This window comes from Homo sapiens, chromosome 1 (genome assembly GCF_000001405.40).
Source record: "Homo sapiens chromosome 1, GRCh38.p14 Primary Assembly".
Lineage (NCBI taxonomy): Eukaryota > Metazoa > Chordata > Mammalia > Primates > Hominidae > Homo > Homo sapiens.
Genome location: NC_000001.11, coordinates 171012826 through 171037612, shown reverse-complemented (window position 1 = coordinate 171037612; position 24787 = coordinate 171012826). Strand labels below are relative to the sequence as shown.

Below are 24787 nucleotides of genomic sequence, written 5' to 3'. Positions count from 1 at the left end.
AGAATCAGCAAGCAATGTTGAAGAAAATCCTAAGGATATTTTAATTGGCATTTCATTCCATGCATAGATTCATTTAGAAAAAAAAATTGACACTTTTAAAATTTTTATTCTTTTTTTTCCTAAAATAGGGTTTATACCTTTCTATTTTCAGTCTTTGTGTCCTTCAGTAATGTTTGCAATTTTCTTCATAGAAATATTGCATGTATTTTAAAGTTTATTTTTAGACCTCCCTTCCTTTCTTCTGTCTATCCTTCCTTCTTTTCTTCCTCTCCCTATCTCCCATCTCCCTTCTTACTTTCTTCCAAAAGTCTTCCTTCCTTCCTTCTTTCTTTTTCTCCCTCCCTCTCTTTTTCCTCTCTCCCTCCGTCATTCCTCCCTTCCTCCTTTTCTTCCTCATTTTTTATTTCCTTCTTTATTTTTTACCTACTATAAATGGGATATTTTCTTTCACTGTATTTTTTAATGAGTTAGTTGCTTTGAGATTAGCATAATTTAAAACATGTATTTTTAAATTAAAAGTATATAAAAGAATAGATATAATATCCTACCTATGGACTTAAAAAATAAAAAATACTTGTGCTCTTGAAGCCTCTTGTGTGTCCTTTCATAAACGCTATTTTTTCCTCCCCCTCCTTCTAGATAAACTAGTATGTTGAATTTTATGTTGACCATTTCCTTGATTTTTCTTACTGTTTTCCAGAAAATTAATGTGAATTCCCAAATAATGTTTTAGTAGTGTCTGCTTTCATCCATATATAAATAGTATGTATTCTTTGGGTTTCGTTTTTTGCTTTTATTCATTTTACTCAAAGTTTTTTTTTTTTATTTTTGTATTCATCTATTCTGGTGAGTGTAAAGATAGCGTTTATTTATTTATTTATTTTTATTTTTTGTAATAAAATTCCTTGCTATTTGCTGTTGCATTTGTGACAATACATAAATTATTTATCCATTCTACTTGTGACAGACATTTGGATTATTTCTAATTTATCTGATATTACTAATAATAGGGCAATAAACTTCTACATGTCTCCAGATGCACCTGTGTGAGAGAGTCTAAGGTACATAGTTAAAAATGGTATTACAGATTTATAGGAACATTATGCTCAACTTTAGCTTATAAGATGATGTCAAATTATTTTCTGAGTGTTTATATCAATTTCTGTTCCCACTACAAGCAACAAAAATTCCCATTATTTCACACACTTTTCAACTCTTGGTATGTATATATACATAAAACTTTAATTTTAAACATCTAGGTATAACGCATGTATGAAAAAGTACACATATAAAAGTACAGCACATGGAATGTTCACACAGTGACCACATCTAAGGTCAAGACACAAGACATTACCAGTAATCCAGAAACTCTCTCCGAGGCTCCCTTTTATTTTCTCCCCAAGTGTAAACGCTACCCTGAGTTTAATAACTCTTTAGTTCTAGCTGTTTTTGTGTTTTATATCAATGGAATTGTACAATATGTACTTTTTGTGACTGGCTTTTATTTCAACGTTGTAAGCTTCCTCTACATTGTGAATGAAGTTGATTTTTTTCCATTGGTATGTAGTATTTCATTGTGTGAATCTACATCAATATATTCATCTAACTGTTGATTTGGAGGATTGGGTTATAACTAGTAATGCTGCTTTGAATATTCTAGTACATATCTTTTGTGAACACATGTATGTATTTCTGTGAGATTTTATAGAATTCCTGAGTCATAGGATATCTATGTGTTCGGCTTTATCAGATATAGCTAAACAGCTTTCCAAAGTGGTTTAAGAATTTTCTCCGCCAACAGCATATAACAGAGTTCTGTTTGCTCCATATCCTTGACAACAGTTGAGATTGTTAGTCTTTATTCTACACTTTATGTTGGATGTATAATGGTATCTTATGGTTTCAATTTGCATTTTCCAAATGAACAATGGAGTCAAATATCTTTTTATATGTTTATTGGTAATTTGTCTGTCCTTTTCTGAAAAGTGTCATTTATTACTCATTTTTCTATTAGGTGGTTTTTTTCTTATAAATTTACATGAATTCTTTATATATTCTAATGTGATTCTTTGCCAGATATATGTGTTGTAAATATCTTCTTCCATTTGGTGGTTGCCTTTTAACATAATTTGGTGAAGAGAAGCTTTCAATTTTAACATCAGTTTTTATTTTTTTATATTTTAAAAAACGTTGCTACTTTATTGGTGTGAAATGGGTTGTTATTGTTCTAATTTGCATGTTTCTGATTATTAATATTGTTGAACATGTTTTACATGATTATTTGTCTCTATGTTTTCTCTTTTTTGAACTTCCTCTTTATATTTATTATTATTTTTTGTACGTTTTATTTTTTGATCTATTGGATTTTTTGTCTTTTTCTAAGTTATTATAATTAATATATCAAAATTAATACATTTTAGTTGCACATGTGCAAATATTTCTCTCAGCTTGTTGCTTGATTTTTAAATTTTTTGTCTTTAGAAATATTTTGTTTATCTTCAGTTATGAAGATATTATCTTACATTTTCTTCTAAAAGTTTTTAAATATTTGTGTTTTATGTTTACATTGTTTGATTCTTCTAGAATTAATTTTTGTGTAGGGTGTCAGGAGTCCTTTTGTTTGTGCACTTCCAATTGTCGTTGCACCTTTCGTTAGGCAGCCCATCATTTGCCGGTCTGATATACACTGCCAGTTCTGATATATATTAGGTATATGTGTGGATCTGTTTATAGGCTTTCTATTCTGTTCCACAGGTCTGTTTGTCTTTCCTTGAATGAGTAACAGACTATCTAAAATTCTGTAGCTTTATAATAAATCTTGGTATCTGGTGAAACTAGTAGCCCCAATTTTTTTTCCTTCAGGAGTATCTTGGCCTTTTGCTATTCCACAAACATTTAGAATCAACTTATCAAGATCTATGAAATTATCTGATAGTATATTTATGACACTTGGACTGAGCCTGTTGATCAGTATTTTTAAACAGATGCTCAGTAAGGATTCTAGATGGGACAAGCATTTGTGAATAGCACTGTCATAATTATTTCTGAATATTAAGCATACCTCTGCTCATTAAATGCATTAATGGACATTAAGTGTTGTACCCATCAGGAAGCAAGCTGGCAAGGGAGCTTGGGAGATACAGAATGCAGAGGTCAGCCTTCCAAGGCATAGAGAAAAATAAAAAGTAGTAGAGACTTGATTGGCAGATGAGAGTCCTACAGTTAAATAGATACTGGATGTCTTTTTGCAATAGTTCATCCATTCATCCATTAGTTAGATGAATTCCATCCTCTAATAATGTCTTCAAGAAGAATTCATGATGATGATTTCATCCTGAGTTCTTGTCTTTTTGAAAATAATGTTCTGTTATCTGTATAGCTGGATAAAATTGTGCTGGATATAAAATTCTTCAGTCACAATTTTCTCTTCACTTAGGAATTTGTAAGCAATATTCTATATTTTATAGTTGAATACTATAAAAGTTTTTTTAGTATTCAACTATAAAATATGGAATATTGAAGTAAAGAAGTTTAATGACAGTTTCTCTATTTTTAAAATTTGTAGGTAATTTTTTTTGTCTGAATGCATAAAGAATTGTTGAAGAATTCTTATGGAATCGTGCAGTTCCATAACTTTATTACAAAATGCCTTAATGTTGCATTCTGTATAAAATATTTCTTGAAAAAATGATTCCTTATCTCAGTATATTTAATCAAGTCATCTTTATTTCTTAAATTATATATTTGAAGACTTTTGCTCTGTTGTAGTTTTTCATTTCTCTTCTTCAGGGATATCACTTGCTCATATTTGCATTTCTTTTTTCTATCATCTATATCTACTATTGTTCCCTAATTTTAAGAATTTTGTGGGGGAGCCGAATAGATGGCCGAATAGAAACAGCAGCGTTCAGAGGCTCCCATCAGGAAAAAAACAAAACAAAACAAACAAACAAACAAAAACATAATAAGCATGTGAATCCTTCACTGGCAGCCAAGGTACTCAGGTTTTCTCATCAGAACTGACTAGGAGGCTGGCGTGACCCACAGAGAGAAGGAAGAACAGTGTGGCGTGGCGACCGGCCTGAGAGCCACACGGGGCAGGGAAGCCCCTCCCCCAAAGCCAAGGCAGGCAGTGAGTGAGCATGCTACCCATCCAGGAAACTGTGCTTTTTTGATGAAACTGTGCAACCCACGGATTGGAAGATCCCATTCACGAACCCACGCCACTGGGGCCTAGTGTCCCACCTCAGAATGTGCAGACTCTTAACAGCCTCTCATCTGGAATCGGCTTAAGATTACTGAACTCCTGGGGTGAAGGGCGACCAGCGCCAGCTGCCGCTGCCTGCACCCTAAGCCATTTGAGCTCCTTGGGGGAGGGGCAGCAGCCAGCACTGGGACTCACAACTGCCTAACACTCTAAGCTCCCTGGGCAGGGGAAGGGTGGCACCCATTTCTAAAGCCCCAGGCTGTGCTTTTCCCCTGCTGGAGCCAGGGAGGCTGGATGGCTTGGTCCCAAGACTTGTCCCTCCGCAGCCCAACACACTGGCTGTGGCAGTCTGTGGCAGAGTGCCTCTACAGGCCTGACTCTTACCCATCCTTCCTCACTGGGTGGGGCTTCCCTGCAGGAACTCCAATAACTCCAGCCAGGGGCTCAGGGACAGAACCTGGATCCCACAGGACCTGAGCCCCTAAGGAGAGGGAGGCCACAGTCTCTGCAGACCAGCAGATTTAGCCTTTCTTCCTGGTAGTTCTGAGGAATCCAGGCAGCCCAGACAAGTGGGTTTCCCGCCTGGTGTGGCACACCCCCTCTGCGAAGGGACAAAGTGCTTTGTTAAATGGGTATTGTTCTCCGTGGTACCCAACTGTGTGAGACCCTCCAACAGGGTTTGTCAGAAACCCTATACAAGAGCGATCCTACTAGCATCAGATTGGTGCCCCTTGAGCTCAGAGATCCCAGAGGAAGGAGCAGGCACCCATCTTTGCTGTTCTCCAGCCTCCTTGAGTGACATCTCCAGGCACGGGAGTGAATCAGATGAGTAGGGCCTGCAGTGAACCCCCAGCAAACTGCAGCAGCCCTACAAAAGAGGGACTTTACCATTGCAAGAAAAACAAGCAGAAAGAAACAACAAAAACAACAACAAAAAAGCCCCCACAAAAACCCCATCCAAGGGTCAGAGCCTCAAAGACCGACTCTAGACAAACTCACGAAGATGAGAAAGAATCAATGAAAAGATGCTGAAAACCCAAAAGGCCAGAGTGCCTCTTCTCCAAATAATTGCAATGTCTTTCCATCAAGGACACAGAACTGGACAGAGGATCAGATGGATGAATCGACAGTAGTAGCCTTCAGAAGATGGGTAATAAAAAACTATGCTGCACTAAAGGAGCATGTTCTAACCCAATGCAAAGAAGCTAAGAACTTTGATAAAAGGTTATAGGAGCTGCTAACTGAATAACCAGTTTAGAGAGAAACATAAATGATCTGATGGAGCTGAAAACCCCAGCACGAGAAGTTCGTAAAACATATACAGCTATCAATAGCCGAACTGACCAAGTAGAAGAAAGGATATCAGAGTTTGAAGACCACCTTACTGAAATAAGGCATGCAGACAAGACTAGAGATAAAAGAATGAAAAGGAATGAAGAAAGCCTCCAAAAAATATGGAGCTTCATAAAAAGATCAAATCTATGATTGCTTAGAGTACCAGAAGGAGACGAGGAGAATGGAAACAAGCTGGAAAACACACTTCAGGATATTATCCGGGAGGACTTTCCCAACCTAGCAAGACAGGCCAACATGCAAATTCAGGAAATACAGAGAACACCACTAAGATACTCCATGAGAAGATCAACCCTGAGACACATAATCATCCAATTATCCAAGCTTGAAATGAAGGAAAAATTGTTAAGGGCAGCCAGAGAGAATGGCCAGGTCACCTACAAAGAGAAGCCCATAAGACTAAAAGTACGTCTCTCAACAGAAACCCTACAAGCCAGAAGAGATTGGGGGACAAATTCAACATTGTTAAAGAAAAGAATTTTCAACCCAGAATTTCATATCCAGCCAAATTAAGCTTCATAAGCAAAGGAGAAATAAAATCATTTCAAGACAAATGTTGAGGGATTTCATTATTACCAGGCCTGCATTGCAAGAGCTCCTGAGAGAAGTGCTAAACATGGAAAAAAAGCACCCAGTACCAGCCACTGGAAAACACACCAAAATGTAATGACCAATGACACTATGAAGAAACTGCATCAACTAGTGTGCAAAATAACCAGCTAGCTCATGATGACAGGATCAAATTCACACATAAAAATATTAACCTTAAATGTAAATGGTCTAAATGCCCCAGTTAAAAGACACAGACTGGCAAATTGGATAGAGTCAAGATCCATTGGTGTGCTGTATTCAGGAGAGCCATCTAATGTGCAAAGACACACATAGGCTCAAAATAAAGGGATGGAGGAAAATTTACCAAGCAAACAGAAAGCAAAAAAACCGCAGGGGTTGCAATGCTAGTCTCTGACAAAACAGACTTTAAAACCAAGAAAGATCAAAAAAGAAGAAAAAGGACATTACATTACGGAAAAGGGAACAATTCAACAAGAAGAGCTAACTATTCTAAATATACGTGCACTCAATACAGGCACACCCAGATTCATAAAACAAGTTTGTAAGAAATACAAAGAGACTTAGACTTCCACACAATAATAGTGGGATATTTTAACACCTCACTGTCAGTATTAGACAGAACTAGACAGAAAATTAATAAAGATATTCAGGACTTGAACTCGGCTCTGGATCAAATGGGCCCAATAGACATATGCAGAACTCTCCAACCCAAATCAACAGAATATACATTCTTCTCAGTGCCACATGGCACTGATTCTAAACTAGACCACATAATTGGAAATAAAACATTCCTCAGCAAATGCAAAAGAACTGAAATCATAACAAACAGTCTTTCAGAACACAGTGCAATCAAATTAGAACTCAGGATTAAGAAACTCACTCAAAAACACACAATTTCATGGAAATTGAACAACCTCCTCCTGAATGACTCCTGGGTAAACAATGAAATTAGGGCAGAAATCAAGAAGTTCTTTGAAACTAATGAGAACATGGGACAATGTACCGGAATCTCTGGGACACACCTAAGCAGTGTTAAGAGGGAAATTTATAGCACTAAATGCCCACATCAGAAAGCTTGGAAGATCTCAAATTGACGCTCTAGTATCACAGTTAAAAGAGCTAGAGCATCAAGAACAAACTAATCCAAAAGCTAGCATAAGACAATAAGTAACTAAGACCAGAAAAGAACTGAACTAGATAGAGACACGAAAAGCCCTCCAAAAAAACAATAAATCCAGGAGCTGGTTTTTCAAAAAGACTAACAAAATAGACTACTAGCTAAACTAATGTAGAAAAAAAAGAAGAATTAAATAGATACAATAAAAACTGATAAGGAAATATCACTGCTGACCCCACAGAAATAAAAACTACCATCAAAGAATACTATAAACACCTCTATGCAAATAAACTAGAAAATCTAGAAGAAATGGGTAAATTCCTGGACACATACACACTCCCAAGTCTAAACAAGAAAGAAGTTGAATCCCTCAATAGACCAATAACAAGTTCTGAAATTGAGGCAGTAATTAATAGCCTACCAACCAAAAAAAGCCCAGGAACAGATGGACTCACAGTTGAATTCTACCAGAAACACAAAGAGGAATTGGTACCATTCCTTCTGAAAGTATTCCAAACAATTGAAAAGGAGGGACTCCTCCCTAACTCATTTTATGAAGCCAGCATCATTCTGATACCAAAACCAGAAAGAGACACAATAAAAAAGGAAAACTCCAAGCCAATATTTCTGATGAACATCGATGCAAAAATCCTCAATAAAATACTGACAAATCGAATCTAGGAGCAAATCAAAAAAACTTACCCACCACGATCGGTTCAGCGTCATCCCTGCGATGCAAGGCTGATTCAACATATGCAAATCAATAAACATAATCCATCACATTAAACAGAACCAAAGACAAAAACCACAAGATTATCTCCATAGATGCAGAAAAGGCGTTTGATAAAATTCAACATCCCTTCAAGTTAAAAACTCTTAACAATCCCAGCACTTTAGGAGGCTGAGGCAGGTGGATCATGAGGTCAGGAGTTTGAGACCAGCCTGAACAACATGGTGAAACCTCGTCTCTACTAAAAATACAAAAATTAGCTGGGCATGGTGGCACATGCTGTAACCCTAGCTACTCAGGAGGCTGAGGCAGGAGAATCGCTGGAACCTGGGAGGCGGAGGTTGCAGTGAGCCGAGATTGTGCCACTGCACTCCAGCCTGGGCAACGAGCAGACTCCGAAAAAAAAAACAAAACCCTCTTAATAAACTAGATATTGAAGGAAGATATCTCACAATAATAAAGCTATTTAAGACAAACCCACAGCCAATATCATATCAATGTCATGTTGAATGGGCAAAAGCTGGAAACATTCCCTTTGAAAACTGGTACAAAACAAGAATGGCTTCTCACACTACTCATATTCAACATAGTATTGAAAGTTCTGGCCAGGGCAATCAGGCAAGAGAAAAAAATAAAGAGTATTCAAACAGGAAGGGAGGAAGTCAAATTGTCTCTGCAGACTGCATGATTCTATATTTAGAAAACTCCATCACCTCAGCCCAAAAACTCCTTAAATTTCAGCAAAGTCTCAGGATACAAAATCAATGTGCAAAAATTACGAGCATTCATTTACACCAATGATAGACACACAGAGAGCCAAATCATGAGTGAACTCCCATTCATAATCGCTACGAAGAAAATAAAATCTAGGAATACAGCTAACAAGAAATGTGAAGGACCTCTTTAAGGAGAACTACAAACCACTGCTCAAAGAAATCAGAGAGGACACAAACAAATGGAAAGACATTCCATCCTCATGGATAGGAAGAATCAATATTGTGAAAATGGCCATACTGCCCAAGTTAATTTATAGATTCAGTACTATTCCCATCAAACTACCATTGACATTCTTCACAGAATTAGGAAAAACTATTTTGGATTTCACATGTAATGAAAGAAGACCCCATATAGCCAAGAGAATCCTAAGCAGAAAGAACAAAGCTGGAGGCATTGTGGTGCCTGGCTTCAAACTATACCACAAGGCTACAGTAATCAAAACAACATGGTACTGGTACCAAAGCAGATACATAGACAAATGGAACAGAACAGAGACCTCAGAAATAACACCACACATCTACAATCATCTGATTTTCGACAAACCTGCTAAAAACAAGCAATGGGGAAAGGATCTCCTATTCAGTAAATGGTGCTGCGAAAACTGGCTAGCCATATGCAGGAAACTGAAACTAGACGCTTTCCTTACACCTTATACAAAAATTAACAAGGCTTAAAGACTTAATGTAAAACCCCAAACCCTCAAAACCCTAGAAGAAAACCTAGGCAATACCATTCAGGACATAGGCATGGGCAAAGATTTCATGACAAAAACACCAAAAGCAATTGCAACAAAAGCCAAAATTGACAAATAGGGTCTAATTAAATTAAACAGCTTCTGCACAGCAAAAGACAAAGACTGAACAGGCAACCTACAGAATGGGAGAAAAATTTTGCAATCTACCCATCTGACAAAGGTCTAATATCCAGAATCTACAAGTAACTTAACAACAAAAAACAACCCCCTCAAAAAGTGGGCAAAGGATATGAATAGACACTTCTGAAAAGAAGACATTTACATGCCAACAAGCATATGAAAAAAAGCTCAACATCACTGATCATTAGAGAAATGCAAATCAAACTATAATGAGATACCATCTCACACCAGTCAGAATGGCAATTATTAAAAAGTCAAGAAACAATAGATGGTGGCAAGGCTGTGGAGAAATAGGAACACTTTTACACTGTTGGTGGGAATGTAAATTATTTCAACCATTGTGGAATACAGTATGACAATTCCTCAAGGATCTAGGACCAGAAATACCATTTAACCCAGCAATCCCTTTACTATGTATATAACCAAAGGAATACAAATCATTTTACTATAAAGACAAGTGCACATGTATGTTTATTGCAGCACCATTTAAAATGGCAAAGACATGGAACCAACCCACATGCCCATCAATGATAGACTGGATAAAGAAAATGTGATATATATACACCATGGAATATTATGCAGCCATAAAGAAGAATGAGATCATGTTCTTTGCAGGGACATGGATGAAGCTGGAAGCCATCATTCTCAGCAAACTAATACAGGAACAGAAAATGAAATACCACATGTTCTCACTCATAAGTGGGAGTTGAACAACAAGAACACATGGACAAAGGGAGGGGAACAACATACACCAGAGCCTGTTGGGAGGTGGGGGTTGAGGCGAGGGAACTTAGAGGGCCAGTCAATAGGGGCAGCGAACCACCATGGCACATGTATAGCTATGTAACAAACCTGCATGTTCTGCACATGTATTCCATTTTTTTTTGGAAGAAGGAATAAAAAGAATTTTTCATTGATGGTTTTTGTTTGATTTTGCTAACATTTCTCAACCCTGTACTCCTTGTCCCTTACTGAGTTCTCAACAAATATTTTCTCTTTTGCTGGTTGTAATTTAATTTTCATTTTTGGTGATATACGTTTTTTCTTACTTTTTCCCCCTTGTACTTCGAAAGCTTATTTTTCATATGCTCCCATTATCCCATCCCAGATTCCCTGTATGCTTGTGTCTATACTTTAGATCTTCATTTTAAAATGTTTTGGATTCATGGAAATATTTATCATAACTTTCATCTGCTCTATCGACATATTTTCTAAGGTTTGTTTTTCTTCATTCTTTTGTCTCTTTTTTCCCTTGAAGTACCTCTGTAGAAAGATAATGCTGTTTCTTTTTTAAAATTACTTATTTACCAATCTTGCAATAGTTATATACAGAGGTTTATTTGTGGGAACTTCCAAGGTAGAATTCAGGATAGCAGGGATTATTTCTGGTCTGAAATAAAGTTACTATTGGCTGAGCATGGTGGCTCATGCCTGTAATTTTAGCACTTTGGGAGGCTGAGGCAGGCAGATCACTTTAGGTCAGAGTTCAAGACCAGCCTGGCAAACATAGTGAAACTCCATCTCTACTAAAAATACAAGAATAGCCAGGCGTGGTGGCTCATGCCTATAATCCCAGCTACTCTAGAGGCTGAAGCAGGAGAGTCGCTTGAACCTGGGAGGTGGAGGTTGCAGTGAGCCAAGATTGTGCCACTGCACTCCAGCCTAGGTGACAGAGCAAGATTCTGTCTTAAAAAAAAAAAAAGAAAAGAAAATGACAGAAAGTTATGATAACACAGGATTTTTCTTTGTGAGGGTGTGTGTGTGTGTGCGCGCACGTGCCTGTGTCTGTGTGTGTTCTGCCCCTCCTCTCTGATTAACACAGATCGTGGGCTTTAGTGCTGATCATAATTCATTTTGTCATCTACCCTGACCGAGAGCCTCCTCTCTATATGTATGATGTGACCATGTATTTCCTCATTCTTTGCTGTTCCTGTTACTCCATGATGCTAACTGGGGTCAAGGGAAGATCCGACTGCCAAGTTGGAGACTCACTACTAAGCTGGGAATTCCAAAATAAAGAATAATTAATTTTTATTTTCACAGTGAGAGCTAGTACAGAAAAACTGTGTGGTCAGGTTTGTCTGATATAAAAAACTTGTCTAGTCTTAGAGTCTTCCTGGGTTGCCCCTGCCTGTTTCCACTTTTTTAAAACTTTAGTGGGTTTGGTAGTTCTTCCTCATCTATTGTAGTTTGTGGTTACAGATGTCCAAGTTTGGTCGAAGATGATGTTTTTATATATTTTTAAATTATTCTTATTCTTTGGGTAGTAATTTTTAAGTGGTGAAGGGGAAAAATGAACAATGGTATGTCACTGTCTTAAGTTTTGAAATCCATTTTGCTGAACACATTTTGCATAATAATCAACCATACAGCTATATTCTCTGTGTATTATAAAATAGAACTCTATTCTCATCACACGTATCAACCTGTATTCATCACCATCACAGGTGCTGTCCCTCATAAACAGAGACATTAAAAAAAATGTAAGAAAGACTTTTAGTTTCTTCTCCATTCTATACCATTTAAGACAAGTTAGGAATTGAGAACTGAATTATATTTACCTATCAAAATAACCGATGCCCTCTTAAGATATGTTCTGGGGCTCCACAGGAATCGTAAGGTATCAGATGTCAAATCTGTAATGTAGTTCCTATGAGAAATAATCTGAGAATAAAAAGGGAAAAAAGCACCTCACTCGATTGCTGAAATAGAACATTTGCTCCCTCCAGAAAGGCTTCAACATACCAAATCAGGACCAAATTAGAAATTGGGGATGCTTTTGTGTGAACTATACTCTTGTTCCCAAACTCAACTCTCTTTTTCCATTCTTTGATTAGCATTCATCCATCCCCACTTGGCTATCATTGCTGTTCATGCTGGGTTTCAGAGGACTAGCTCAAGAGGCAGTGGCAAAGTAATTCTAGTTTTCTTTTTTGTGATCTGGGATGTTCTTCCTACCTTAATACCCACCCATAGCTCAAAATGGGTGGGCTGGAGGAAGAAGATAAGATGGATGATCAGTGTTGAGAAATAGGAAGTGGAAAATTCTAATTCCTCTCGGCTCAAGCTCCAGCTATAATCACTTATTTAAAATATTTTCTTCCATTTTTTTCCTCCAAGATCCACTCTTATCCCCATTACAGTTTTTATCACTTTGGATATCCTGTAAGTTTTGTCTACAACTCTTATAGTAGTAAAAATGGAAGGGCCACTTACAAGATTGTTACAGATATTGAGCACCACCATCTCAAAACTGTAATTTTCATCTTTGAGCAAACGTGATGTTGACCACTTTAATTGTGAGGTACAGATTTTTAATGTATATTTACATGCCTGTGAGACAGAAAAAGGCCGGTGAAGATCTATTCATCTGTTGTTAGATAAAACATTACAATCCTTGGTAAATTTATGAAAAAGAAGATCAAATGACTTACTTCAGCTACTCTTTTATCATCATCCTCCAAAAATAGGATTAGGGGCACCAAGCCTTCTAGAACCACATCATTCACCATCCATGTGTACTGTCTCATATCCCTAACTAATTGACCAAAGTGTCGAATTGCCATACTTCGAATGCCTCCATTAATCTGTAAAAGACAAAGGCCTTATTTGAGGATAATATTAGGGCTTTTTTCTTCAATCAGTAATCTACACACACACACACACACACACACACACCCCATATAAATATACTATATATGTATATGTGTATATATACATACACTATGTGAAATTTTATTTATTTTTAGAAAAAATTCACCTTGGGTTCAAGTAGTTAGGGCATCTTTTAATTTTAAAATAATATTTGCCTACCTATTATTCACAATAGCCAAGATATGGAATTAACCTAAGTGTCCATCAATGGAATAATTGAAATACTTTTCAGCCTTAAAAAAGAATAAAATCCTGTCATGTATGACATGGATGAACTTGGAGGACATCATGCTATTTGAAATCAGTCAGGGACAGAAAGACAAATATTGCATGATCTCACTTATATGTGGAATATTAAAAGGTTGAACTCATAGAAGAGGAGAGTGGGCCTAGGTTGCCAGCAGCTGAAGGGTGGTGGGAGGCACTGGGGGAGATGTTGGTTAAAGGATACAAAGTTTCTTTTAGACTGGATGAATAAATTCTAGAGATCTAATGTAAGTCTAGTTACATTAGAGTATAGTTAATGTAATGTATACTTAAAAACTGCAGAGATTAGATCTCAAACGTTCTCACCACACACACAAAAAAGATATGTGAGGTAATGGCTATGTTAATTTTGTTTGATTTAATCATTTGACAATGTATACCTATATCAAAACGTATTGTATTCTGTAAATATATATAATTTTAATTGATTAATTATGCCTTAATAAAGCTGAACAAAATATATAAACTAGTAAAACAATTTACTTACCATAATTCAGATTGCATTAAAAAAACTGTGAAAAATGAGTTTCTTAAATTTAGGAAGATGATTAGTATTTAATAACATCCTAAAAGTATAAACTGAAATAGTATGTATAACTTGAAGATAATTTTTGTAAGGATACTTATAATAATGTAACCATGCTGTGTTCAAAGGCTGGAAGACTTTGCTGAGTTGCCACTAAATAACAATGCAAGCTCTCTGCATACTGGCATACAACCAGGTTTTCAAAGGCTACTTATGCCAAATAGGAAGGTAATTGGATAAAAATGATTCTATAAAGGAAAAATTGCAAGTCAGAAGAGGTTAATTTTTAAATTTTTATTTATTTATATTTTATTAGAGACAGGGTCTCACTCTGTTGCCCAGGCTAGAGTGCAGGGGCAGGATCATAGCTCACTGCAGCTTTTAACTCTTGGGCTCCAACAACCCTCCTGCTGGTCTGAAATTCTTGGGCTCAAGCAATCCTCCCATGTCAGTCTTGGAAAGTGTTGGGATTACAGGCGTGAGCCACTGCACTTGGCCCAAATTTTAAAAATATAATATCACCTTCTGGTTTTAAGGAAATGTTTATAATCTCATATTGATTTTTTTTATATGAGCGCTCTGACTACTTTATCACATACATGACCTTGGCCAAACATTGCCTTCTCTTTGCCTTAGTTTCTTTACATGAAAATTGGATAATAGTAATACAGTTGCTTAGAGATTTATGTAAAATAGCTCAAGTAAATCCTTTAGAAAAGCCCCTGGTATATATTAAGTGTTCAATAAATTAAGCCACTTTTTTCTTTTTTTTTAACTTTAAGTTCTGGGATACAAGTGCAGAAAGTTTAGGTTTGTTACAAAGGTCTATGTGTGCCATGCTGGTTTGCTGCACCTATCACCCCATCATCTAGGTTTTAAGCCCCATATGCATTAGCTATTTCTCCTAATGTTCTCCCTCCCCTTGCCACCCACCCCCCAAGTGGCCCTGGTGTGTGTTGTTCCCCTCCTTGTGTCCATGTGTTTTCATTGTTCAACTCCCACTTATGAGTGAGAACATGTGGTATTTCATTTTCTGTTCCTGTGTTAGTTTGCTGAGAATGATGGCTTCCAGCTTCATCCATGTCCCTGCAAAGCACATAATCTTCATTCCTTTTTATGGCTGCATAGTAGTCCACGGTGTATATATACCACATTTTCTTTATCCAGTCTAACATTGATGGGCATTTGGGTTGGTTCCATGACTTTGCTACTGTAAGTAGTGCTGCAATAAACATACATGTGCATGTGTCTTTAAAGCAGAATGATTTATAATCCTTCGGGTATATACTCAGTAATGGGATTGCTGGGTCAGATGGTATTTCTGGTTCTAGATCCTTGACGAATCACCATACTTTATTCCACAATAGTTGAATTAATTTACATTCCCACCAACAGTGTAAAAGCATTCCTATTTCTCCACAGCCTTGCCAGCATCTATTATTTTTTGACTTTTTAATAATCACCATTCTGACTGGTGTGAGATGGTATCTCATTGTGGTTTTGATTTGCATTTCTCTAATCAGTGATGTTGAACTTTTTTTCATATGTTTGTTGGCCATGTAAATGTTTTCTTTTGAGAAGTGTCTGTTCATATGCTTTGCCCACTTTTTGATGGGGTCATTTTTTTTTTTTCTTGTAAATTTAAGTTTCTTGTAGATTCTGGATATTAGATCTTTGTCAGATGGGTAGATTGCAAAAATTTTTTCCCATTCTGTAGGTTGCCTATTCACCCTGATAATAGTTTCTTTTGCTGTGCAGAAGCTGTTTAATTTGATTAGATCCTATTTGTCAATTTTGCTTTTGTTGCAATTGCTTTTGGTGTTTTTGTAATGAAGTCTTTGCCCACGCCTATGTCCTGAACGCTATTGCCTAGGTTTTCTTCGAGGGTTTGTATGGTTTGGGGTCTTACATTTAAGTCTTTAAGCCATGTTAAGTTTTGTTTAATGTGTAAGGAGGGGTCCAGTTTCGGTTTTCTGCATGTGGCTAGCCAGTTTTCCCAGACCATTTATTAAATAGGGAATCTTTTCCCTATTGCTTGCTTTTGGCAGGATTGTTGAAGATCAGATGATTGTAGAAGTGTGGTGTTATTTCTGAGATCTCTGTTCTGTTTCGTTGGTCTATATACCTGTTTTGGTGCCAGTATCATGTTGTTTTGGATACTGTAGCCTTGTAGTATAGTTTGAAGTCAGGTACCATGATGTCTTCAGCTTTGTTCTTTGTGCTTAGGATTGTCTTGGCTATATGGGCTCTTTTTTGCTTCCATATGGAATTTAAAGTAGTTTTTTCTAATTCTGTGAATAATGTCAATGGTAGTTTGATGAGAATAGCACTGAATCTATAAATTACTTGGGCAGTATGGCCATTTTAATGATATTGATTCTTTTTATCCATGAGGATTGAATGTTTTTCCATTTGTTTGTGTCCTCTCTGATTTCCTTGAGCAGTGGTTTGTAGTTCTCCTTAAAGAGGTCCTTGACATCCCTTGTTAGCTGTATTCCTAGGTATTTTATTCTCTTTGTAGCAATTGCGAATGAGTGTTCATTCATGATTTGGCTCTCTGCTTGTCTATTGTTGGTGCATGGAAATGTTTGTGATTTTTGCACATTGATTTTGTATCCCGAGACTTTGTGAAGTTGCTTATCAGCTTAAGGAGTTTTGGGGCTGAGGTGATGGGGTTTTCTAAATATAGAATCATGTCCACAAACAGAGACAATTTGACTTCCTCTCTTCCTACGTGAGTACCATTTACTTTTTTCCCTTGCCTGATTGCCCTGAACAGAACTTCCAATACTATGATGCATAGGAGTGGTGAGAGAGGGCATCCTTGTCTTGTGCTGGTTTTCAAAGGGAATGCTTCCAGCTTTTGCTCATTCAATATGATATTGGCTGTGTGTTTGTCATAAATAGCTCTTATTATTTTGAAATATGTTCCAACAATACCAGGTTTATTGAGAGTTTTTAACATGAAGGAATGTTGAATTTTATCGAAGGCCTTTTCGGCATCTATTGAGATAATCATGTGGTTTTTGTCATTGGTTCTGTTTATGTGATGGATTACATTTGTTGATTTGTATATGTTGAACCAGGCTTGCGTCCCGGGGATGAAGCTGACCTGATCATGGTGGATAAGTTTTTGAATGTGCTGCTGGATTTGTTTTGCCAGTATTTTGTTGAGGATTTTCGCATCAATATTCATCAGGGATATTGCCCTGAAGTTTTCTTTTCTGTTGTGTCTCTGCCAGGTTTTGGAATCAGAATGATGCTGGACTCATAAAATGAATTAGGGAGAAGTCCCTCCTTTTCAATTGTTTGGAATAGTTTCAGAAGGAATGATGCCAGCTCCTCTTTGTATGTCTAGTAGAATTTGGCTGTGAAATCCTGGTCCTGAGCTTTTTTTTATCAGTAGGCTATTAATTACTGCCACAATTTCAGAACTTGTTATTCGTCTATTCAGGGATCCAACTTCTTCCTGGCTTTGTCTTGGGAGGGTGTATGCGTCCAGGAATTTACCCATTTCTTCTTGATTTTACCGTTTATTTGTGTATAGATGTTAATAGTGTTCTCTGATGGTAGTTTGCAGTGCTGGGGGGTCAGTGGTGATTTCCCCCTTATCATTTTTTATTGTGTCTATTTAATTCATTCTTTTTTTCTATATTAGTCTAGCTAGTGGTCTATCTATTTTGTTAATTTTTTCAGCAAACCAGCTCTTGGATTTGTTGATTTTTTGAAGAGTTTTTTGTGTCTTTACTTCCTTCAGTTCTGCTCTGATTTGGGTTATTTCTTGTTTTCTGCTAGCTTTTGAATTTGTTTGCTCCTGCTTCTTTAGCTCTTTTAATTGTGATGTTAGGGTGCTGATTTGAGATATTTCTAGCATTTTTTTTTTTTTGATGGAGTCTCGTTCTGTCGCCCAGACTGGAGTGCAGTGGTGTGATCTCGGCTGACTGCAACCTCCGCCTCCTGGGTTTAAGCAATTCTCTGCCTCAGCCTTCCGAGTAGCTGGGATTACAGGCATGTGCCACCACAGCAGGCTAATTTTTGTATTTTTAGTAGAGATGGGGTTTCACCATCTTGGCCATGCTGGTCTTGAACTCTTGATCTCGTGATCCACCCACCTCAGCCTTCCAAAGTGCTGGGATTACAGGCATCAGCCACTTCTCCTGGCCGATGTTTCTAGCCTTATGACATGGGCATTTAGTGCCATAAATTTCCCTCTCAACACCGCTGTAGCTGTGTCCCACAGATTCTGGTACATAGTCTCTTTGTTCTTACTGGTTTCAAAAGACTTCTTGATTTCTGCCTTAATTTCATTATTTACCCAGGAGTCATTCAGGAGCAGGTTGTTCAATTTCCATGTAATTATGTGCTTTTGAGTGAGTTTCTTAATCCTGAGCTCTAATGTGATTGCACTGTGTTTTTAGAGACTGTATTATGATTTCAGTTCTTTTGAATTTGCTGATGAGTGTTTTACCTCCAATTATGTGGTCTATTTTAGAATCAGTGCCATGTGGCACTGAGAAGAATGTACATTCTGTTGATTTGGGTTGGAGAGTTTTGTATATGTCTATTGGGTCCACTTGATCCATAGCTGAGTTTAAGTCCTCAATATCCTGTTAATTTGCTGTCTTGTTGATCTGTCCCCTATTTCTCAGAGGTTTTGCTCATTCCTTTTTATTCTTTTTTTCTCTAATATTGTCTGCATGCCTGATTTCAGCAAGATAGTCTTCAAACTCTGATATCGTTTCTTCTGCTTCATCGATTCAGCTATTGATACTTGTGTATGCTTCATAAAGTTCTTGTGCTGTTTTTCAGCTCCATCAGGTCATTTATTTTCCTCTGTAAACTGGTTATTCTAGTTAGCAGCTCCTCTAACCTTTTATCTAGGTTCTTAGCTTCTTTGCATTGGGTTAGAACGTGCTCCTTTAGCTCAGAGGAGTTTGTTATTACCCACCTTCTGAAGCCTACTTCTGTCAATTCGTCCATCTCATCCTCCGTCCAGTTCTATGTCCTTGCTGGAGGAGGTGCTGTGACCATTTGAAGGAGAAGAGGCACTCTGGCCTTTTGGGCCTTCAGCGTTGTTTTGTTAATTTTTTTCTCATCTTCATGAGTTTGTCTAGTATTGATCTTTGAGGCTGCTGACATTTGAATAGGGTTTTTGTGGGGACTTTTTTTTTTTTGTTGGTGCTGTTGTTGCTTTCTGTTTCTTTGTTTCTCTTGCAATGGTCAGGTCCCTCTTCTGTAGGGTTGCTGCAGTTTTCTGGGGGCTCACTTTAGGCCCTATTCATCTGATTTGCTCCCATGTCTGGAGATGTCACTCGAGGAATCTGGAGAACAGCAAAGATGGGTGCCTGCTCCTTCCTCTGGGATCTCGAGGGGCACCAACCTGATGCCTGTGGGCTCACTCCTGTATAGGGTTTCTGATGACCCCTTTTGGAGGGTCTCAATTGGCTGGGTTTTATGGGGAGCAGGACCCACTTAACAAAGCACTTTGGCTGTCCCTTGGTGGAGGGGGTGTGCTTTGCTGGGGGGAAAGCCCACTTGTCTGGTCTGCCTTGCTTCCTCCAAACTAGTAGGAGGAAAGACTATGTCTGCTGGTGTGCAGAGACTGTGGCCACCCCTCCCACGAGGGGTTCAGGCCTAAGGAGATCAGAGTTCTGTCCCTGAGCCCCTGGCTGGAGTAGTCAGACTTCCTGCAGGAAGACCCCAGCGAGGAGGGATGGGTCCAGGTCAAGCCTGAAGAGGCACTCGTCAACAGTCTGCCACAGCTGATGTGTTAGGCTATGGGGGATACCTCTTGGGATCAAGCCATCCAGTCTCACTGGCTCCAGCAGGGAAAAAGCATAGCCTAGAGCTATAGAGATGGCTGCTGCCCTACCCCCACCATGGGGGCTTAGTGTGTTAGGTGGCTATCAGTCTGAGTGCCAGCTGCCACCCCTCCCCCAAGGAGTTTAAAGGGCTTAGACAGCAGGCAGCCACAGCTGTTGTGCCAGTCACCCCTCCCCCAGGAGTTCAGCAGTCTTAAACAGATTCTAGCTTAGTGGCTGTTGAGAATCTGTGCAGCTCCGTGTTTGGGACCCTAGGTCCTTATGGCATGGGCTCACAAGTGGGATTTTCGTGGAAAAAACACGTTTTCCCAGGCTGGGTAGCATGCTCACTCACTGCCTCCCTTGGCTGGGGGTGGGGGCTCCCCTGGCCCGTGTGGCTGTCAGGTAGGCCTCCACACCACACTGCTCTGCCTTCCTCTCCATGGGTCATGCCCGCTGCCTAGTCAGTTCTGATGACAGAACCTGGATACCTCAGTTGCCAGTGCAGGATTTGCATGCTGTTTGGGATTTGCATCTTTGTGATGGCAGCTTCCGGATGCTGCTGCTTCTAGTTGACCATCTTGGCCCCCGCCCCTTTAAGCCACTACTATTATTATTACTATTCTAATGTGTTTATGTGTTTATAAAATTCATTTTTGCCACTACTTTTTTTCATAATTTAATAATACTGTGCTTTTCTTCATTGAACTGTAAGTGATTAAAAACTTAGAAGTTTTGGCAAGATAATTTATTGTGAAATAATTCTCTGGTTTACTAACAATTTATTGTGGAGTTCTTTAAAAATACATAGATTCCCCATGGCATACCAAAGTTTTCATTAAACTTTTCTGAAACATATTTACCATGTAAAATGAGAATTTTCAGAAAGAACAACTTTCTGATAAAATACTTTTAAATTCAAGTTTTATATGATAATAACAAACATTTATTTGGGGCATGGCAAATATCAAATCTAATTCTTATAATAAACCTAATATTGTTTATGTCACTATTGCTGTTTTATAGATGGGGAAAAAGTGATACACCAAAAGACTGAAGAAATCACTCACTCAGTGTTTCATAGCCAATAAGAGGTGGAAGAGGGATTTGAACCCAGGCAGTCCAGATATAGGGTTAATCAGTATATAGCCACAAAGCTACAGTTTCATCCAAGGATAGAGGCTATTCCTTGATTAGTCTTCTTTTCTTCCCCAGGTTCTCACAGTGTACTTAAAAAAAAAAAAGACCAGTACTTACCTAATATTTTTATCTCTGTAAAAGAAATGGTGGCTTCTTCTCCTATTGGCTTATTCTGTGACCTAACATCACTGCCTCAACTTGAGTTTCAGGTGAACCACAAAACCTAATGATCTCACATATCTAACTGTGTAACTCACATGATCCATCAGAGTACAGTAGCTGGAACCAATTCTGGTACCCAAAGAGTAGGTCACTTTGTCCAGTTCGTTTAAAAGCCTTCTAAGGGTGAGCAAGGCCTGAAGTACAACATTATCGTCTTTGGAAAGGAAGGCATCCAGGATGGCTATTAATATACTGCTGACATTTTCTGTCTACATATAAAAGGAAAAAATGGTGGGATTTAGGAACTAGCAGGAGACTTGAGCTGACATTTATATGGATACCTTGAGTCTGGGCGGCACATCATGGTGTGCGGAAGCCGACTCACGAAAATCTCTTGTCAAATTTTCAAAAATGTTGACTTTTTGCTAAGAAAATTAATTATTGAAAATTAAATTATATAAATTTAACATTAAGTAGAAACTGATAATACTAAAAAATTATCACTCCCTAATTCTTTCGCTACATTTTACCATTATCTATGCTCTTGAGGTTATTCATGGGCATTGTGTCTGATTGGCGGGAATATTAAATAATGATGGGCTATTGTGCATCTTTTCCCAGTTCCATGGTTAGTGATGTCCCTTTGAAAGCTTGAAATTAGCCATCATAAGGATCTTTACACCAGGGAATTGGCCTTATTTTCAGACACCTGGCTGTCAAACATTTACTAACACACTACTAGCAGAATGACCTCTAAATTAGATGATAGTGACCCATTTGGACATGAGAGCTACTGAGACACTCAGGCAGGTCATGGGAGTCAATGCAGATCAGAACCAAACAGAATAGAAGGCAAGGAAAAACACGAAAAGGAGACACCAGAGAGAAAGAAAGGCAAGGAGAAAAAGACTAAAGGAAATGAATGAATATTATTTTGCCAAAATAATAGCTTTAAGGAGAAAAAAATAGAGCTAAGGACTATGTCAATGCCAGAGGCCATTTGTGTCTTTACCAACAGTATATGAAATCTCAACCCAGATCACTTTCCACTACTTTTCTTTCACTCTCCTAGGAAGTCTTGACAGAATTTTCCTTTCAGTTTTTGATAACATTGGGAAGAGCTCTGGGTAAAGCAATAAATAATTTGCTGCTTACTAAGATAATGTACACCACTGGTAAATCCATCAACTTGTATTATTTATTTAAAGTAAACAGACCATGGCTTATGTCATTCTAAATGCACAACGGGTGTCCACTGATAGGCTTCAGTTCTCAGAGACTATGCTCATTAGATAAACAACGATTTATTATTGGATGTATTATAAAAGTAATGATTTATAGAACATTTGCACTGTCAGCATTTTGCAAGATACTTTGGAGTGTAGAATTACAGAAAATGGAACGTGCTTAAATTCAGTCGACCTGGAAGGTAAGAAGTATTCATGTGAGTCAATGGGAAACAGTGTAAGATTGTTGTTCTCAGCTTTAACTTGAATAACAGTCACCTGGAGGACCTTTAAAACACAGATTGGTGGGCCCACCCCAGAATTTCTGATTCCATAGGACGGGGGTGGGGCCTCACAATTTGCATTTCTAGCAAGTCTCCAGGTGATGCTGATACTGCTGGTTCAAGAACTATGCTTTGACACTGGTATAAAATATGAGTGCTCATAACTGATATGGCTCTGAGAGGGATGAGGCTGCGAGAGATAAGAATTTTCAGTGCAGTTTGACTTGGGCTGATCATTGAAAAAGGAGAAAAATGTAAATATGTATAGGTAAAGTAGGAACATTATGAGTAGAAGAAAAAGCTTGAGCAAGTGCTCTGAGATAGGAATTAGTGTGTACACATGAGTGTATGTTGGAGGGGAAATTATGTATATATGGTTTAGACTGTAAGACAAGTCTAGGGCAATGAGGATAAATACATTCTGAGTGCAATGAATGATTTTCTGTAAAAAAAAAAAAAAAGTAAGGCGATAAAGCCACTAAGTGGACTTAACACATCCTTTCTATTCAACTCAGTTTCCTTGTTAATAAAACAGCAGGCTTTGATATGTTTTAGTTATATAGAGACTGAAAAATATCACCGCTTTGTCAGTGAAGATGTTAAGTGACATCAAAATCTCAGATTATGATTTAGATGATGCTTGCAGACACAAATCACATACACATACCTTATTGATAATTGGTGACATGTGGACAATTCTATGAAGGATCAGTCTGCTAACTACAGGATTGGAATCATTGATCCAGTTTATGAAGAGGACCAAAAATTCTTCTGGTAAAGGGTCCTTGAAGAAGTTATTCAGAAGCTGAAAGAAAATAGTTAATAAGTTTATAAGCAAAGTAGAGGCCACTGCACGATTTCTGTCATAAAAATCAAGATATTCTAGGTAAAACTAGAATGCAAATCTCACTAAAACATCAAATACATATATTTCAGTGCTCACAGCAGTGGGGAGAGACAACAATCAGGATAGAAAAATAGATGCTTTGTTTCGTTTTTGTCTGTCTGTGTGTGTGTGTGTGTGTGTGTGTGTGTGTGTGTGTGTGTATGTATTTTACATTTTCCTCCATTGTTGGAAACTGAGTGACCCAATTTAAATTTCCCCATCATACTGATTGTAGTCAGGTTGTGAGTTTCTTCACAGTGTATGTCTACATATGCTAAGAGGTGATACCCACTACAGGCCAGGCACTGCACTAGTAAATAGAGATACAATGGTGAGCGAAACGGTAGCAACCCACAACCCTGTGGAGCTTCCAGGCAAGCTAGAGAGACTGATACTATACTATGTACTATTCTAATGAGACAGAGTTTCTAATTTTAGTCAGTACTAGGAAAGAAAGCTACCAGATGTCACAACACATCTGCATCTACAGCAGCAGTCCCCAAACTTTTTGGCACCAGGGACCAGTTTTTGGAAGACATTTTTTTTCCAAGAATGGCTGGGGAGGGAGGGTGTAAAACTCTTCTACCTCAGATCATCAGGCATTAGTTTAGATTCTCATAAAGAGCCTACAACCTAGATCCCTTGCATGCACAGTTCACAATAAGGTTTGTGCTACTATGAAAATCTAATGCCGCCACTGATCTGACAGGAGGCAGAGCTCAGGTGGTAATGCTCGCATGCTGCTCACTTCCCGCTGTGCAGCCCTGTTCCAAACAGGCTATAGACTGGTACCAGTATGTGGCCCAGGGAGCTGGGGACCCCTGATCTATGGGACTATTGAATTTACATTGTGTAATGTAGATTCAATTTAGAATGAAGAGTGATATTTAGATTTAGGTTTGTGAGTTGGCATTAGCTAGAAGAAGTGTTTAGAGAGGAGACCTTCAAGGATGGTGAACCATGTGCAAAGGCCCTGAGGAATATGAAGCAGGGTGTGTTTGAGCACCTGAAAGATGAGAGAGAGGAGGGGAGAGGGAACAGAAGACTGGACAGCAGGGAGGCTTGAGGGCAAGTATGGAAGGTGGGACAGAACCTGCAGGCCAGTTTGAGGAAGTTTAGTTTTTAAGAGCTAATACCCAGAGTGAAGACATGAGTATCATGAGCCTTCATACATTTAATAACTGACAGTCAAATATGCTGATTAAAATCT

The 24787-nt window shown here is 38.1% G+C and overlaps 1 protein-coding gene across 4 annotated transcripts in view, besides 1 other annotated feature; it reads right to left on the bottom strand.

The window, feature by feature from the left end:
* Positions 1–24787, bottom strand: part of MROH9 (maestro heat like repeat family member 9) — a 129232-nt gene that overhangs the window by 27153 nt on the left and 77292 nt on the right. For 3 of the 4 annotated variants that reach the window (NM_001163629.2, XM_011510005.3, XM_011510007.3), the window contains 5 exons: positions 23359–23496; positions 21277–21450; positions 13066–13218; positions 12848–12964; positions 12193–12295 (listed from right to left, as the gene is read on the bottom strand). In NM_001163629.2, the coding sequence (NP_001157101.1) occupies positions 12193–12295; positions 12848–12964; positions 13066–13218; positions 21277–21450; positions 23359–23496 (685 nt within the window). The remainder of the gene's footprint in view (positions 1–12192; positions 12296–12847; positions 12965–13065; positions 13219–21276; positions 21451–23358; positions 23497–24787) is intronic. The other variant, XM_011510006.3, reaches the window with a different exon arrangement.
* Positions 4334–4869: an enhancer, noted in NCBI's record as "H3K27ac-H3K4me1 hESC enhancer chr1:171001885-171002420 (GRCh37/hg19 assembly coordinates)". NCBI's record gives its function as "activates a minimal SCP1, AML or CMV promoter by ChIP-STARR-seq in naive H9 embryonic stem cells {active_cell/tissue: H9 hESC(naive)}" and the evidence as "EXISTENCE:reporter gene assay evidence [ECO:0000049][PMID:30033119]".